This window comes from Homo sapiens, chromosome 5 (assembly GCF_000001405.40).
Source record: "Homo sapiens chromosome 5, GRCh38.p14 Primary Assembly".
Taxonomy (NCBI): Eukaryota; Metazoa; Chordata; class Mammalia; order Primates; family Hominidae; genus Homo; species Homo sapiens.
Genome location: NC_000005.10, coordinates 151,524,309 through 151,542,279, shown reverse-complemented (window position 1 = coordinate 151,542,279; position 17,971 = coordinate 151,524,309). Strand labels below are relative to the sequence as shown.

The following is a 17,971-nucleotide window of genomic DNA, read 5'->3' as shown; positions in this document are numbered from 1 at the left end:
AACACCTGTCATGGACTGCAGGCTCTGGAATGTATCGAAAAACATCCAGGAAGAGGTGCCCTAAAATGGGTTCATGTCCTGGATTTGCCACTTATTAGCAGTGTGACCTTGGGCACACTTAACCCCCTAGGACCTCAGTTTCTCCACCTATAGACTTGGCATGCATGTTCTCATTCACCTCACAGGCATGCTGGTAAGATCTGTAATTTCTAGAAAGCACCTATACATTAGAAAGTGCTTTGCAAAAAGTATGTCTCATTATTTTACATGAGTCATACTCTAACTGCTGTCAGTTGTCTTTTGAAAGATGGAGGAGGCACCAAGAATGTTGCATGATCCTTGAAAATTCTGTCAAGCGACTGTCTTTATGGAGAGTGTCCTACCCAGGTAAAGTTGTGAATGATAGAAAATGCTTCTTAGTCAATCACAGGTCCTAAGTGTAAGAATGACAGCACTTCCTTAGATATAATTCCTTCATTTCACGTATGTGGAAACCAAGGCCCAGATGGAGAAGTTCAACCAAGGTCACACTCTTGTGCTTGCTTCAGGGCTGGGATTAAAACCCTACCCTATAAGCTGCTTTCATTAGTGGATACCTACTGTAAAACTAAATTACCCTATCCCCAATCCAGTGGCTAAGCCAGCTAACCAGTGGCCATGAGAGAGTTTCTTCACTCCTGTGGCCTTTTTTTCTCATCCCCAGGTGCCATGTCCCCCCATTCCCATGAACATGGCTCCTTCTGCTATCACAGCTGTCCAGTGAAAAGCCCATGAGCCTGAAATTCCAACCAAGAACCACAGACTCCCGAAGACATAGGATCAAAGCTGTTTGAAATACAGAGTTGTAGAAAAACAGAATCTTATCATCTTAAAATATCAGACTCCTAAAAACACAGAAGTCTTAAAATCTCAGGATAATAGAGTAATAAATGTCAACATGTTATCAATTCTTGGAGTAGTTGGATCTTAGAACTCTGGAATCTTAGGATCTCAGAGTGAGAAATCCATATTCCCACATTCTTGTCAGTGATTAGTGTCAAGGAAAGAAAGATGACTTACAAGCAAACCCTAGTGCTCCTACAGAACCTCCACTTAGGGTGGGTCCTTAGTTATAAAATAAAACCTTGGAGTGTTTAGTGTTTTTGATTGCTTCCTATCTCTCCACTGTTGTATAGCTATGCATCTTAGACATTTATATAGAATTGAAATTTGTTTCCCTTTAACTTCCTCCCATGCCTTCTGGGCCACAAAACAAAAAACCCTGCCTTCAGCCACATATTTTGAAGTGATGCTTCTTGCATTGACAATTTCATTCAACAGGAGGCATTTGAAGTAGAAGTAGCTTCATAACACCAAAAAGTGGACTCAGTGTAGAATCGTGGGTTCCTAGTTAAGGAAGGAAATGTTTGCTTTCCCAACAATTCTAAAAAATGCATCCAATGGGCAGCCACCTGTGACACAAAGCCTAGTTCATTCCTATTGCTTGGCTTCTGAAAGCTCTGCCCCATCTGTTTAGAGGGAGACCCCCTGGGCCAGTTTGGCATCAGCCAAGTTGGAGATGAGTGGAGGATTTCCTCAAGGAAGACCCTGGACCGCGAGCATACAGCCAAGTACTTGCTCAGAGTCACAGCATCTGATGGCAAGTTCCAGGCTTCGGTCACTGTGGAGATCTTTGTCCTGGACGTCAATGATAACAGCCCACAGTGTTCACAGGTGAGAGCCTGGCGAGGGGTGGAGTGGGTAGTGAAGGCAAGGAAGATAAGAGTGAGGGGTGGGAGAACAGAGAGTGAGGAGCAGGAGAAGGGAGATTGAGGGGCAGGAGAACAGAGAGTGAGGGGCAGGAGAAGGGAGATTGAGGGGCAGGAGAACAGAGAGTGAGGGGCAGGAGAAGGGAGATTGAGGGGCAGGAGAACAGAGAGTGAGGGGCAGGAGAAAGGAGGACCGAGGGACCCATCTCTGAGGCTGGCCATCACTGACCTCACCTCTCTTGCTTCTCCCCAGCAAGCCTCAGACTAGCTCCCAGGGGCAGGGACCATTCTAGGTAATTCCTTGGCCCCCATAGGGATATACCAAGCTGTTCAAGACTCATGGCCCACATCTCTCCCCCTACATTCCCAACAAAGGTCTATTTCTCTGCAGAACATATCCAGAAGGAAAGTAACATAAGCATTCTCCAAATACAGCCAGCCATGCCCAATGGGCAAACCCCTGGCACTGCTCAACTTGTTGACATGGCTCACTATTATCAAATACACCAACAGAGACCTGACCCCAGACAAACCCCTCACCCCATGCCCATATATGCACCTCCTCACATCTGCTGGGGTAATTTAGTCCACTGAGATGCCCTTCTTCACTTGTACAGAGACACAAACACGAGACAGGGCAATTTCATTTGGTGAGGGATACTTTCCTAAGGATCTCATGTAATTCAACTCTAAATTTCCAGCAGGAACAAATGTTGAGTGGGGTGTGTATGTGTGTTTGTCAGGAGAGGAGCTGTGTTCCTAGAGGCATAAACCAACAATTGCTGTCATGGAGCTTTGCTTTTAAACATATTTTTTAAAACACAGTAAGTAGTTTTTAACTTTGGGAGGATTTACATTCTTTCAAAGTTTATAGATAAAGTTAAACTGCTAACATTTTAATTTTATAACATCTCAAATTATCATAATCCAGCCATTCAGTATATATATAAAAATGCACAGTTATACATACCCACACATATACACAAAGGATCATCTACAACCCTATACACACAGGCAAATACCTATGCATATATACACATAAACATATAAGCATATACCTATATACCTAGCACAATCAACCATATACTCACCCACACATGCAACTATACGTAACAAATTCACATGAACATACTTACATATGCATTTGCATATATACAAACTTCGACTTGCTTGCACACACATATGAATGTATAGACACATACCTTGCAACACACATAAATACATATATCTCCTCACCTTTTCTTCCTCCACTCTTCTACATGCCAGTCACATAAAAGCACTGTAGAAAAAGAGAGTCTGGTTATTGGTATGCATGCAAAATGTCTTTTCAGGATCCAAGATGACCATATTTGGGGTAGTCTCAGAAGGGAGGCTTTTTTGGGGAGAATGGTGGTCACCTTCCTTCTCTTTTCCCTCAGCCATCATTACAACCAACTTCTGTCCTCCCCATGCTTGGAGAGGCTGAGATCAGGCTCACCCTGGCCCTCCCGGAGATGGTTCACAGCATCACTAGAACAGAAAAAAGAGGCCTGGGGAACCATCTCCACACATAAAACTTCCATCCACGTCTGTAATCCAAGCACTTTGGGAGGCCGAGGCAGGCGGATCACCTGATGTCAGGGGTTCGAGACCAGCCTGGCCAACATGGTGAAACCCCGTCTCTACTAAAAATACAAAAAAAAAAAAAATTAGCCAGGTGTGGTGGCACGCACCTGTACTCCCAGCTACCTAGGAGGCTGAGGCAGGAGATGGTTTGAATTTGGGAGGAGGAGGTTGCAGTGAGCCAAGATCGTGCCACTGCACTCAAGCCTGGGCAACAGAGTGAGACTCTGTCTCAAAAAAGAGAAAACAAGAAAATAAATAAAGCTTCCATCCAGGGCATGTAGGGGTCCATGCTTGCCCACACTCAACAGTGGTGGAAACCATGATGCTTGCAGGCTGGCTCACTGCCAGCCACTGAAGAAAAATTGAATTCTCAGGGAGCTCCAGCCTTTCCCCTCTGCCACTCCCTCAGATGCCATGACGGTACCTGCAGCAAAGGGAGGGTGGGCCAAGCGATGGGGCCACTGGAGTCCAGACCTGACTCAAAGGTCAAGGGTCTGTCCTGGGGATACGGTCAGGGAGATGAGCTTAATAGCATGGCCTCGCCACAGAGGCAGGGGAGGTTGACCTGACACCTTCCAGAATGCCTATATCAGGCCCATCTTGCCTTCCTTCTCCAAAAGCCTCAAAGGACTGGGTGGAAGAAATTGTAGCAGTCCCTTCTAGCCCTGCCTGTGGGCTTTTGGATGACAGAACTTCTCCATTCTCTCTTTTCTGACTCGTTCTCTTGTCATCCTCTTCCTGTTTTAAACCTCAGTTTTCCTTGCATGTTTCATCTTATTCTACCTCCTCTGTTCCCCTCCCTCCCTCTCTCTGCTTCTCTTTCTCTCTCTCTGTCTCTGTTCTTTTTTCTGTCTCTCTTCGTCTCTGCCCTCTTAGTGTCTCTCTTTCTGCTTCTGCCTCCCTCAGTCAGTCACTCTGCTTCTCTCTGGATCTGAATGCAGTCCCCACAGTCTCCCTCTTCTTTGTCTTTCCATCTCTAGCTTCTCTATACTGGCAAGGTTCATGAAGATGTATTTCCAGGACACTTCATTTTGAAGGTTTCTGCCACAGACTTGGACACTGATACCAATGCTCAGATCACATATTCTCTGCATGGCCCTGGGGCGCATGAATTCAAGCTGGATCCTCATACAGGTGGGTTTCCTGAGCTGCAGGATCAAAACAAGAACTTCTTTACTGAATACCAAGTGCCCAGTGCCATGGTATTCTCCTTGGAGAAGAAACAGGAATTCACTCATCTATCAGCAAACATATATTGGCCCTATGTGCCAAGCATTGTACTGGGGACATAATAAATAGATTGATAAGACAAGATTTGGGCCTTTATAATCTAGTGGGAAAGGGGGTCATTGAATCAGTGGTTTTAAATGTGCTAAATTAAGAAAAAGTGCAGAATGCTAAGGGGATTTATTTTATTCTTTTAAAATTTATTTTAGCACAGCTGACATCTTGGTTTCTCCTTTCCTTCCCTCCCCTCCCCTCCCCTCTCCTTTCCTCTCCTTTCCTTTTTTCCTTTTCCTTTCTCCCTTTCCTTTCCTTTCGTTGTTCGTTGTTTCTTTCCTTCCTTCCTTCTTTTTTCTTTTCTTTTCTTTTCTTTCTTTTTTTCTCTTTCTTTTTCTTCCCTCTCTCCCTCCTCCTCCTCCTCCTCCACCACCACCATCGTCTTCTTATTATTCTCCTTTTTCTTCTTCTTCCTCCTCCTCCTCTTCTTCTTCCTCTTCTTCTTTCTCTCTCTCTCTCTTCTTTCTTTCTGTATTTCTCTCCCTCTTTTTCTTTCTGTCTTTCTGTCTTTTTGCTAGCTATGGGAATATTTGACAGCAGAACTTGACTTTGGCTACGGAGGATCTTAAGTAAAAGATCACTGAGGAAATGCCACTTTATGTGAGACTTGTGGACACAGAAGTGTTAGCCAGGGGTAAGAGAGTGGGGGAAAGGGCACTCAAGGCAGGAGAATTTATACAAAGACCTTCTTTGGGGAAATAGTACACACACTGAGGACCTGACAGAAGGCCAGAAACTGGTGCCCAGAGAGGGAGGAGAGAGGACAAAGAATGAGGCCCCAGGGTGGGCAGAGCCAAATCCCACCTTTAGAGCCACTGGAGGATTTAGGCAGGTGAGTGTCATGGCCAAGAACATGATCTCAAGGTATCTATGCTGCAAACCAGGGATAACACCTCATAGAATTGTTATAACACAGGTGAGAAAGCATATGGAAGCCTAGCCCAGGTCTGGCTCAGTGGATGGGTTGCCATTATCATTGTTACTAGCCAAGAGATAGAGCAGAGTGGGAAGCAGAGATTCCTGCAGGGTAGGCCAGGAGTAGCCAGGAGAGGCTGGGCTGTGAGAGTCTGGTGGAGTGGACTTCCTTTGGAAGAGCAGCCCACCTAGGAGGGATTCCTGCCCTGCTGCTGCAGGGGAGGGTGTGGAGATGGGCAGCACAGAAGGCCCAGGTCACAAGGGCCAGCTGCTGACATTTGGCTTGGGCCCAGTAGCTCACAGGATGACTTGGAGATACCTGAGCAGGGGGTGGCAGGGGAGAAGGGTGTCGCAGGAAGCTGTCTGGGTAGATAGGGGACAATGCTGTCCTTCCTAACCCCAGCAGGGACAGGCAGAGGGACCCAGGCAGGTTATTTAACCTCTCTCTGCTGCTCTTTGTTCAGCTTCAGGATGATCAGTAAGGACTTTAAAAAATGGCGTTTTTTTTTCTGAATATGGAAATAATACATGTTCATGGTATAAAATTGAAGCAATGTAGGTATGTATTATGCAGAAACTGGAACATCTGCATGATAACCCCTTCCTCCACAGATAAGGACTCTTGGTATATATTCTATCTGACTGGTTTTCCATGCATCTCCAAAATCTCTATATAATTACTTCATGAAAGTAGAATACTATTTGTAACTTGCTTTTCTTCACTCAGCAGTATCTCAAAGCTCTATCATAATTCATTTTTGGTTATATGGTGTTTCGGAAAAACCTCTCTCAAACCAGGTTTTTCCTCTGCTCTCACACCACACCAATCATCAGCAAAGAAGACTTCTGTGACCAAATGTGTGTGGGTTTTCCCCATACAACAAGCAGCGGAGACCCCTCAGGTGTCCTCTAATTCAATTCCAACACTATCTACCTGGAGATAGTGTCAGATCCCATGGGTTTAGGGCTCTGTCCACAAGACTCTACCCCCTTACCCAGACACCAGTTGCAAGTCCAGGCCTCCAGAATGTCTGACCAACCAGCTTCAAGTTGGGGCTCCCACGACTCCTTCTTTGGGTTCGATTAATTTGTTGGGACAGCTCACAGAACTCAGAAAAACACTTGTGTTTACTGGTTTATTATAAAGGATACTGCAAAGGATACAGGTGAAGAGAGGTGTAGGGCGAGGCATGAGGAAAGGGGCTCCCATGTCCTCCCTGGGCGCACCACCCTCCAGGAACCGCCCTGTGTTCAGCTATATGGAAGCTCTCGGAACCCAGTCATCTTGGGTTGTTATGGGAGCCTCATGATGTCAGCATTATTTCCCCCAGGGTATAAGGCAGGAGACTCTCTGGGGAGGGTCTTAAAACCCACAATTAGAAAAGGGGGGAAAGATGGGAATCTTGCTTTGGGGCAGGTGAAAGGAGAGCAGGAGAAGGTCAAAGAGATTGTGCTTCCTGAGGCCTAACATAACACACCCAACATTATAACAAAAGAGTGTGTAACAAGGGCTGTGGGAGTTACGGGCAGGAGCCATGCATGAAAACCAAGATACACTTATAACACCACACATGGTGTTTTACTGTGTGGCTAAATCATAATATACTTAACCAGTCCCTTTTTGAAAGACATATAGGATGATTTCAATAGTTGCTATTATAAACAGTGCTGCAGAGAATATCCTTATACATAGATTTTTATCTTTGGGTTGATTTTTCTATAGAAAATGTATACATATATATATATATATATATATATATTTTCCTAGAAGTGGAATTACGAACCAAAGGATAAATGCATTTTATATATTGTTAGAAATTGCCTAATTGGCCATTAAGAATATACCTATTTTTAGCTTGTTGATGATGATCTTAAACTGGCAATGTGATGAAGTGTGTTTGGGAGAATCAGGGAGGAGAATGGGTATGGGGGGATACAGGCTTAGCTGCTTTCCTGACTGTATTGACCCCTCCTTGCTGTGAACAAAACTCTGTGTGGCTGGGTTTGTCTCCTGTAGATATATAGAGGGCACATGCTTGGGTAATATTTCCCCAGAGAAAGCTCAACTTTTGTCATTTCTCCGACCAGGGGAGCTGACCACACTCACTGCCCTAGACCGAGAAAGGAAGGATGTGTTCAACCTTGTTGCCAAGGCGACGGATGGAGGTGGCCGATCGTGCCAGGCAGACATCACCCTCCATGTGGAGGATGTGAATGACAATGCCCCGCGGTTCTTCCCCAGCCACTGTGCTGTGGCTGTCTTCGACAACACCACAGTGAAGACCCCTGTGGCTGTAGTATTTGCCCGGGATCCCGACCAAGGTGAGTCTGAGAAGGATTGAGGCCATTTCCAATGATCTCCTGGGTCACCTTGGGCAAGGGTTTGGTCCCCTTTGTGTCTCTCTAGGACTGGTAAGGGCGGTGCCTCCTTGTTGAGTCTGGGGACACTTAAAAGTAAAAAGTATTTATCCTCAAACTGCACACCTAAGTGCTATATGACAAATGATTTTAGCAATGTTTTGAAGCAGGAAAAAGGTATTTCAGCCTTATTGTTTCTCCCCTTCCACTTAGACCTGGGGACTTTTCAATACTGCCATTTAACCACAAAGGCATTTTTAAGTACAAACATTTAATCAGAAATATACCAATCAGACTTCTTCAATTCTGATTGATTTGCCTCAAGAAAGGAATTTTGGGTACCAACCCCAGTAAGCCCATTAAATTCCTTGATCAATTTTCTGAAGAGTGAAGTTGAACCCTTTTCAATATTTTACATTTTAACTCCATATTTTCATTGGAGTTAATTCTTTTTCTTTTAAAATTTACAAGGTAAATTGCATTCATTCAAACATATTTGTTCCATATTGTACCAATTATAGCTTATGCTACCACAAAGTGTTCTATTCTGATTGTATATACATACCTGCATGTATACATACATATATATAACTCATTAATGTGATATATATATATCACATATATATATGTATGTGTGTATGTATATATATATGTATATAACCTGTCCAATTTTCCTGAGTCAAATTTTATAATTCAGATAGGGTAAAAAAAATGCTCTCAGCATCAGAATAGCCAGGTCAACACAGGAAAATGATGATGATAAAAGTGGGATCAAAACACCCTGCTCTGTTTGACACCAGCAGGGTAAAATTAAGATTTCCTAGAGAAAGTGAGTTTTAGCTTGGCATTGAAGGAGGTGAGATATTCGAGGGATGTAGGGGTTCTAGGGAGGGCAAACAGTCAACACAAAGGCAGGGTGGCTGGACCTGGAAAGCGTGTGTGTGTGTGTGTGTGTGTGTGTGTGTGTGTGTGTGTGTGTTGGAGATAACAAGTGCAAGTGGAATAGACTTGCTTGAGATACAGAAATGGGTTTGATAGGAGAGATCTGGAATACATCAGAGCTGGAGTGACCCATAAGCCATCTTATTTACGTCTCCATCTAATGGCTGCAAGGCTCTGTAAGTGCTCCATTAGCCACTGCTTACACACCTCCAGGGACAGGATGCTCCCTACTTCCTAAGCAGCCCCTTCCTTCTATGGTTCCTCAGGCCATTATCAAGTGGGACATCTGTCATTCCTGGTCCTGCCCTCTACAATCACACAGATCTCCTAGATAGCTCCTAGAGTGGCCTTATATCAACTTACCATTAATCTTTCCAAAATGGTTATTCCAACCCAAATATTTCAACTAAATAATCCAGGTGTGGTTTGACCAGCATCTCTCTGTCTCTAGAAAAATTATGGTTTCTTCATATAAGTGCCAATATGGGGAAGTTGCATGGCATGTGCATTTAATGGATATAAATTCAACTCTTCTCAGAGGCTACTCCTGTCACCATTCCACCAGAGAAGTTTGTGTTCCACGTGTGTGGGAGACGTGAGACCCTTAGGCTCAGGGCGTGTGTTCATCTCACTGGGGGAGGACCTCACAGCCGAGCCTTAAATGTTGGTGTTTTTCCTACACTATGGCCAACTGCTTCATCTGGTACTTAACCAAAGAAAATAACAGAATTGGAGACAAAGCTGGAGAAACACTGTGTGTTTTGATTTACTAAGAACTTCCATGGGTGTTTTCTTAACTTTTTATGTTGACGTAATTATAGACTCCATAGGAAGTTGCAAAAATAGGACTGGTGGGGACTGTGTGCCCTCTTCATGCAGCTTCCCTAATGGGAGCATCTTACATAGCAGTAGGATAATATCAAAACTGGAAAACTGACATTGGTCCATTGTTGGTAACTAGACTACAGCCTTGCTACTCAGATTTCACCAGTTTCTGTATGCACTCATTTGCGTGTGTGTGTGTGTGTGTGTGTGTGTGTGTTTGTACACGCACACTTAGTTCTATGCAATATTATTCCATGTTTAGATTCTTGTAACCAACACCACAATCAAGATACAGAGCTGTTCTATCTCAGTCAAGGAACTCTCTATGGGTGGTTTTATCTGCATATTTTTCATTAATAAACTGATATTAGACCCTAATCCCCACATAATATTTTCGGATAGTTTGATAGATTTGCAGATTAGGTTCCCCCAAAAGCATTTTAGTGAGGCCTTGGGTCTCCCTGCCCCAGTCAAGACACCCCGCTGGAGAGACCCTCACTCTTCATATACCCAAGCCAGCTTGTCCGCCTTCATGGGAGCCCCTCCCCAGCCCCTCCTGTGGCTGCAGGGTTTGCTGCAGGCAGGTCCAGAGGAGGCGCCCTCAGTGTGGATCACACCCTTGGTCTCCCTGCCAGGCGCCAATGCCCAGGTGGTTTACTCTCTGCCGGATTCAGCCGAAGGCCACTTTTCCATCGACGCCACCACGGGGGTGATCCGCCTGGAAAAGCCGCTGCAGGTCAGGCCCCAGGCACCACTGGAGCTCACGGTCCGTGCCTCTGACCTGGGCACCCCAATACCGCTGTCCACGCTGGGCACCGTCACAGTCTCGGTGGTGGGCCTAGAAGACTACCTGCCCGTGTTCCTGAACACCGAGCACAGCGTGCAGGTGCCCGAGGACGCCCCACCTGGCACGGAGGTGCTGCAGCTGGCCACCCTCACTCGCCCGGGCGCAGAGAAGACCGGCTACCGCGTGGTCAGCGGGAACGAGCAAGGCAGGTTCCGCCTGGATGCTCGCACAGGTGAGAGCCTGATCCACCAAGCCCCAAAGCATCGCGTACAGGGTTTCTGGGAGCGCTGGGTTCCTCCCCTGTGTGGGTATCTACCCTGTGCAGCGCCTCCCAGAGCAGACCTCCTCTGGTCGTTTCTCCATTCTCTTCTGCTTCTCTCCGAGTACCAGGTCCCTCCTTCCACCCTGGGGCCAGCTTATGTGGGAGCCTCCCTTAAACGGGACCCTCCCACGTCCGCAGCCAGGTCTCTGTGTCCAGGACCCTCAGTGATCCACTCTCCTCCCACACAGTTAGCGGCTTCATGGTCTCAGCTCAGGCCCAGCGCAGGAGGCAGAAACGGCTTGGCTGCAGAGGCAGGGAGCCCTTGCTGGAATCTGGGGCTTAAGCAACCCTGGACAAGGCTGCCTGCTTCCCTCCTGGAGTCCCCACATCCACTCCAAACATCCTGGCACCCCTTAATTTTCCCTTATTCTCTTGAAGAGAGAGAGAACTAGGAAACCGTCTCACTTCTTTCCTACTAGCCACAGAAGACTCAAAGTCAGGTTCACAGAAACTCACCGAAGGGCCTCAGAGGCCACCCAGGTCAGCCTGTGTCTCACACAGATTCCTCCCCATGGCTCCCCTGGAATGGTGCTCTCTACCTCCCCAAACAGCTGCCTTATCATTGAGCAATATTTTTTAAAATTTACCATGGAGATTTTGAACATATTAAAAAATAGAATAGTACAATGAGCCCTGTGTTCCCACCACCCAGCTTCAGTAATCATCTGCAGAGACCAGCCTGGTTTCCTCTTTACCCTTTGGCCCCTACATCCATCCAACCGCAGACACTGTGTCATTTCACTTGTAAGGACATCAGTGTGTATCTCTGTATAATAAGAACTCCTTTTCTAAACAAAACCACAATACCTTATCACACCTAAAAGATAACAATTTCTTAATATCACCAGGCCATTTTTCAGATTCTCATAAATGTCTTTTCGAAACTGGTTTGTTAGTATCCCCAAAACATCTACATACTGAATTTGGTTGATATGCAAGATTTTAAGTGTCCTTTAATCTCTAACATTTTCTTCTTCCTCTTTATTTCCCCCTGCCATTTATTTAATGAAACAGTTGAGTCATGTGTCTAATAGAATTTTCCATCGTTTGGATTGGTTGGCTCTTTATAGTGTCATATAGCATATCCCTCAGGTCCTTGTATTTCCTAGGAATGACATTTGGATCAAAGGCCTTGATCAGGTTTAGTTGACAGTGCTTGATCAACACAGTGCCTCACAGATGATGCTATGCTGTTTGCATCATGTCTGGACGCACATAAGAGCTAACTGGCTTTTTTTTTTTTTTCTGGTGTTAAGATAGATGGTAAGTTCAGGTGTTGTCAACCTGATCCATTATATATGAATATATAGTTATAATTTGGGTATATAAGGCCATTATAGACTTCTTCATCAGCCTTTCTTCTAATGGTTTTAGCAGGCTTTGCTAATCATTTCCTAGATAGATATACCTTTTCATTAAGGGCTGTAAAATGGTGATTTTCTAATCCTATTACTCCTCATTATTTTCTGACTGAATTATAAAAAGATGTTCATTGGCATGTGATGCTGTTGAAAGAAAAATAAAATAAAACAAAAAGCAGAGTGTCCACCATTAACTATTTGGTTAGCCGGGAAAGGCAGGATAAATCCTTGTTCTTTTATTTCTTTTTTCCAGTTTTCAGAATAATAACCTATGCCCTAACAATTTGTGGGCAACTTTGAGTATTAATGAATCTCATTTTATGCCCTGAGGTCTGTCATTTACTAGCTGGGTGAGGTTGGACAAGTCACTTGCCTATTAGAGCATCTAGGTCAATGGACTGACCTAGAAAATGGGAATCATAATTGTCCCTGCTCCACAGGGTTTTTATAGATCTCAATGAGATAAATTTAGCATCACACATTTAAATGAGATTTAAATCAAATATTACAGAAGTAAGTGAGGGAAACATAGCTGTTGTGAATAATAATAAAGAAAAATGAGGGAGATGATGGGGAAGGGGGTCAAGGGGATAGCAAAGGGAGATGGATGGGGAGATGACAGAGGACACTTACCTTGCCTAGCCCTGTTGAGCTGCCTCTCCTAGGGCTGGGCTCAGACCCTCAGTCCTGCGCCTTTGAGGGCCCAACTGCCTCATTGCTGCTGTCACCTCTTGCTTCTTCAGGGATCCTGTATGTCAACGCAAGCCTGGACTTTGAGACAAGCCCCAAGTACTTCCTGTCCATTGAGTGCAGCCGGAAGAGCTCCTCTTCCCTCAGTGACGTGACCACAGTCATGGTCAACATCACTGATGTCAATGAACACCGGCCCCAATTCCCCCAAGATCCATATAGCACAAGGGTCTTAGAGAATGCCCTTGTGGGTGACGTCATCCTCACGGTAAGGATCTGCCACCTTGCTCTTTGTGGGACAAGAACTCTGGGATGGGTTCTTATCTCACCCCCACACCCAGCCATCTATGAGCATGGATTAGTTTATTAAGTTAATACACTGTAGACTTGACTCTGACTTGTCAGAGGTTTATGTGAGATTTGAGTATGGCCAAACAATGCTCGGCCAAACTATCTCTCCTGAGAGAATGTCTCAGAGCCATATGATAAGATCAGAGACAATGGAATGGGGCATGGGATAGGCGAGGTTTGTTAGGAGAAGAGAGAAAAAGAGACAGACCCCAGAGGACTGCCAGAGGCTCTCAAGCCTGGGAAGGGCCTGGTCATAGCGGGTGACGTGGAATGACAGTTGTGGGGCAGGGACTGAGGGGACACCAAATAATACCTCTTTGCATTTAAATATGCAATAACTCCCTCATTCAATGGAGTGAAACCCAGTTCTGTCCACCCATACTCCCACACTCTTCATCCCACCTTCCAGTCTCTCCCTCCACTCCCTGCTATGGTGCACCCTATGCTCCAACCACACAGGAATATCTACCTTTCCCCAAAACATCGTCTGCACTTCCACACTCTGGGCTCACAGTATTTCCTCTCCTGGATTGCCTGCTCCAGCCCCGAAAGAACCTCCTGATCCTTCAGGGCTTCATGAGTCCTTTTCTAATCTCCCCAGTGTAATATATCACTGTGTGCTCTTATAAGGCTGATCATACTTTACTCCAAATTAGAATTACCCATAAAATTAGACATTAAACTTCCTGCAGGCATATTCATTTTAGCACATTCCTCACATTCTAGGACAGGGCCTAGCATGCTGTTAGCAAGAGTGAATGGTGAGTGAATGAATAAACCATGGCATGCTGAAGTCCACACGAGGATGTAAGTGAAGAGATTACTTTGGCAGGGACAACTGTGATCCAGGCACTGCTAGCCCAAAGGCAGTCACTGGGGCAGGGACATATCTGTTTCCCCCTGTACTCCCAGGGGTCAAGATTCCTGTCCCTCCATTCACAATCCCCCTACCCCACCGCAGGTATCAGCGACTGATGAAGATGGACCCCTAAATAGTGACATTACCTATAGCCTCATAGGAGGGAACCAGCTTGGGCACTTCACCATTCACCCCAAAAAGGGGGAGCTACAGGTGGCCAAGGCCCTGGACCGGGAACAGGTGAGTCATGTGGGAGGGGCGCACCCTGAGCTCATTAGAGCAGAGACACAGTCCCACTGCAGGTCCAGAAGATGAATCGCTGTCAAGACCCCATCCTGAAACTTCCTCAGACCTTCCCAGAATGTCTCTCACTTGTTTTCTCTGTGGGGCCTCTGTGGACTGTGAGGCCAGAGGCAGGAGAGGGACTGAGTGACCCCGTAACCTTCCCTAGAGGACCTCAGGTGGCTTCTCACAATTGAGTAGGGATCATTAGATCATTATAAAATAGCCACATTTTTTGAGCACCCACTGTGTGCCAGACACTTTCCTAAATGTTTTATAAGGATTTATGCCATTTGATCCTCAAAATAATTTAAGGAAGTGCATCCTGACATTATCCTCACATAAATTCATTCACTTTCCCAAGGTCTCATTGCCAGCAAATGATTGAGTAGGGAATCACACCTATTTCTGTCTGACTCCAGAACCTAAGCCCTAAAATGCTACGGGTGGGCAGTGGGGGTGGGCATAGGAAAGTGTCTCCTTCTTATTTTTTTTGAAAATATTAGTGATGACTCAGGGGGCAGAAGTGAGGGACAGCTACCTCATTGCTAACCTCCACTGGACATTTTGCAATAGGCCTCTAGTTATTCCCTGAAGCTCCGAGCCACAGACAGTGGGCAGCCTCCACTGCATGAGGACACAGACATCGCTATCCAAGTGGCTGATGTCAATGATAACCCACCGAGATTCTTCCAGCTCAACTACAGCACCACTGTCCAGGTAAGCTTGAGCCTCCAAGGCACCCTGAGCCCTTCCTCCCTTCATTTCCCTTCTAGCAGAAGATGCCCCTCAGTGGCATTAGTCCACATGAACAATGACTGTGACTTTGCCACTGATGTCCCCAAAGGCAACACAGACTGCTGGAGGGCATTATAGAATTGAAGGGAATCAGGCACTGTGTTAGGCACTTTCATATCCATTACCTCATTTGAGACTCATAACAGCCATATGAAGTAGGTAGTACCCATTTTACAGATTTAGAAGATTGAGGTATGAAAACATGCCATACCTGGAATGTGGCAAACTTGGGATTGAACCCCAGGGATTTTTTTGTTTGTTTCCAGAACCCAAGCTATTCCCTACTAATGGTTTGCAAATAGGATTTGGAGAGGGCCTTGGGATTCTATGAGTAATTTTCAGGGCTGTAAGTGGTGAAGGGAGGTGAGGGAGTGAATAAAAAGGCAGAGTTCTGGGTCCTACTATGCATTACCTAGGGCTGTTCCACTTTTACCTGTTTTATATATTATGGGTATGGGTTAGGATGCTTTGGCTGCAAATAATAAGTTACCTGACTAAAAATATCTTTTCTGAGAATATCGCCAGTCCACATCTGAACCAAAGCAGGATTTTATAAGAAAGGAACAGAGAATGTCTGTTGGATAGGCAACGATCAGTTTCTGCCCATTAGATTCTGTTTGTGATGCTAAATAGTTAGCAACCATTGTGTTATAGTATACTAAATGCCCATGTTATACAACAAAGGCTAAAATGATACTCAGGGAATCTGGTTTTTCTTATTAAATTCCTAGTCATCTTTAAGTGTGCTTATCAGATACATATTGCATGCAGGTCCTCTAAGGAAGAAATCATTTATAAGTGTTCAATTGGCTTTGCAAATCGCAACATTCCCTTATGTAATCCAGGTAATAACTAATTTAAATACATGATTCAGCAGTGTGTGATCTTGAGCAAGTCATCTCTCTACAGAATAAAGGGTTTAACCTTTGTTCTCTAAGGATCCTTCCTGCCCCAATGGGCTGTGTTTCTAAGACCCAACATTGCCCTTGGGGAGCTCCTGGTCTAGACAGCAAAGTCAACAACTACCTCAAAGGCAGGCAGAATGAATGAGCAGCAGCTTGATGTCCAGGCACCATCTACAAGCAGTCAGAGTGCTGAGGACTCATTCCAGATGACATACCCAGACACGTGCGAAAGGAAGGACCGGGACTCATTCTGCTCTTTGCCTTCTTTGTCACTCTCGGTCTCAGGAGAACTCCCCCATTGGCAGCAAAGTCCTGCAGCTGATCCTGAGTGACCCAGATTCTCCAGAGAATGGCCCCCCCTACTCGTTTCGAATCACCAAGGGGAACAACGGCTCTGCCTTCCGAGTGACCCCGGATGGATGGCTGGTGACTGCTGAGGGCCTAAGCAGGAGGGCTCAGGAATGGTATCAGCTTCAGATCCAGGTGAGAGCTGTGCTAGGCTTCTGGTGGTGACCATGGGGACAGTAAAGATGCTGGCAAAAGCCCCACCAGTGCTTCTGTCATTAGGGAAAAAATGTACAAAGCACTTAGGATGCATCAGGCACTGGGCTAGGTCCTTCTCAGGACTAAAGCCTCATAACACTCAGGGCAGGTATAGTTACCACCCCGCTTTACAGATGAGGAAACTGAGGAACACAGGGGATTTAAGTGACTGGCTTAAAGTAATACTGGTAATAAGTGGCAAAGGTGGGTTGCTTCAAACCCAAGCACTCTGACCCCAGACTCCAAATTCTTAATCCCTGCTCTGTGCCTGGGCAAAACACCCTCTGGCTGTAGCTCCTAGAGCTTAGCCAGAACAGCTCTCTGAACCTCAGGAGCTAAAACAACCTACCTCAGAGAACTGGCTTGGGGCTCAAGTGAGATATTGTATGCACATGTGTGTAGGGGATTCTGGTGGTGGTGTTATGGGTTTCATAGGAATTGCTAAAGAACAGTGGCCAAGATGGTGGTCTGATATCTCTCCCTCACTTTATTTCTCCAAATCTCTTTCCTAAATCTCAAGTCCAGTGGACCCTACTATTCTGTAAACTTATGGGCTGGGAATGATGTATTCATTCTTTCAGTCAGTCAGTCCATCTCTCGACAAGTATTTATTGAGCATCTACTACATGCGAGGCCATTTGCAAGCTGCTAGGAACATAGCAGAGGGTAAGGAGGGAATGATTCCTGTCTCCAGGGGCTTTCCATTGTAATCATGGAGATAAACAATAAACAGATAAAGAAAGAAATAACATCTTTACAAATGATGATAAGGAAGTAAAGTGATGAGAGACTCATAAGACAGGGGGACACACATTCAGAGGGAGGCTGCCCCCAGGAGGTGACATCTGAGCAGAGAGCCAAGCTGCCAACCATGTGAAAAGTGGGCAGGAGAGTCTTCCAGGCAGGAAGAGCAACATGAGTTGGGAAAGAGCCTGAAGTGGCTTGAGGTATGGCTGAGGTACTGAGAACATCATGAGCAGGGGTGGGAATGAGGCTGAGGAGATAGGCTGGGTAGATCATGTGGGCCTTGTGGCTTGGATGACTGTATTATCTGAGGTCCAAACTGTGATCTTTGAGAGTGAGAGAAGCACTGACTTAGTCCATTTGGGCTGCTACAACAGAACACCATAGGCTGGGTGGCTTAAAGGACAGAAATGTATTTCCCACAGTTCTGGAGGCTGGAAGTCCCAGATCGGGGTGCCAGCATGGCCAGGTTCTGGTGAGTGCCCTCTTCTGAATGGCAGACTGTCGGCTTCTCATTGTATCACATGGCCCTTCTCATAAGGGCCCTAATCCCATTCACAAGGGCTCCACCTCCAAATACTGTTACACTGGGGATTAGATTTTAACATATGAATTTTGAGGGGACACAAACATAGAGTCCAAAACAGGCACTAAA

The 17,971-nt window shown here is 45.6% G+C and overlaps 2 protein-coding genes across 11 annotated transcripts in view, besides 1 other annotated feature; one reads left to right on the top strand and one right to left on the bottom strand.

Annotated features, from left to right (window-relative positions):
• The window catches only part of SLC36A1 (solute carrier family 36 member 1), a 211,490-nt gene that overhangs the window by 13,806 nt on the left and 179,713 nt on the right, over positions 1–17,971 (bottom strand). For all 3 annotated transcript variants that reach the window (XM_017009217.2, XM_047416925.1, XM_011537595.3), the window contains one exon: positions 2,985–3,027. In XM_017009217.2, coding sequence (XP_016864706.1) covers positions 2,985–3,027 — 43 coding nt within the window. The remainder of the gene's footprint in view (positions 1–2,984; positions 3,028–17,971) is intronic.
• The window catches only part of FAT2 (FAT atypical cadherin 2), a 90,728-nt gene that overhangs the window by 52,540 nt on the left and 20,217 nt on the right, over positions 1–17,971 (top strand). For 6 of the 8 annotated variants that reach the window (XM_017009225.2, XM_011537600.3, XM_017009224.2 and 3 more), the window contains 8 exons: positions 1,517–1,713; positions 4,334–4,487; positions 7,638–7,871; positions 10,310–10,693; positions 12,888–13,102; positions 14,147–14,284; positions 14,903–15,046; positions 16,315–16,512. In XM_017009225.2, coding sequence (XP_016864714.1) covers positions 1,517–1,713; positions 4,334–4,487; positions 7,638–7,871; positions 10,310–10,693; positions 12,888–13,102; positions 14,147–14,284; positions 14,903–15,046; positions 16,315–16,512 — 1,664 coding nt within the window. Of the gene's footprint in view, positions 1–307; positions 388–1,516; positions 1,714–4,333; positions 4,488–7,637; positions 7,872–10,309; positions 10,694–12,887; positions 13,103–14,146; positions 14,285–14,902; positions 15,047–16,314; positions 16,513–17,971 lie in introns of those variants that run through there. The other 2 variants (XR_007058588.1, XM_017009227.2) reach the window with 2 other exon arrangements.
• Positions 10,833–11,002: an enhancer, noted in NCBI's record as "experimental_82563 CRE fragment used in MPRA reporter constructs". NCBI's record gives its function as "activates a minimal promoter by MPRAs in K562 erythroleukemia cells, with activity observed for the introgressed 5:150910924 variant allele {active_cell/tissue: K562}" and the evidence as "EXISTENCE:reporter gene assay evidence [ECO:0000049][PMID:34662402]".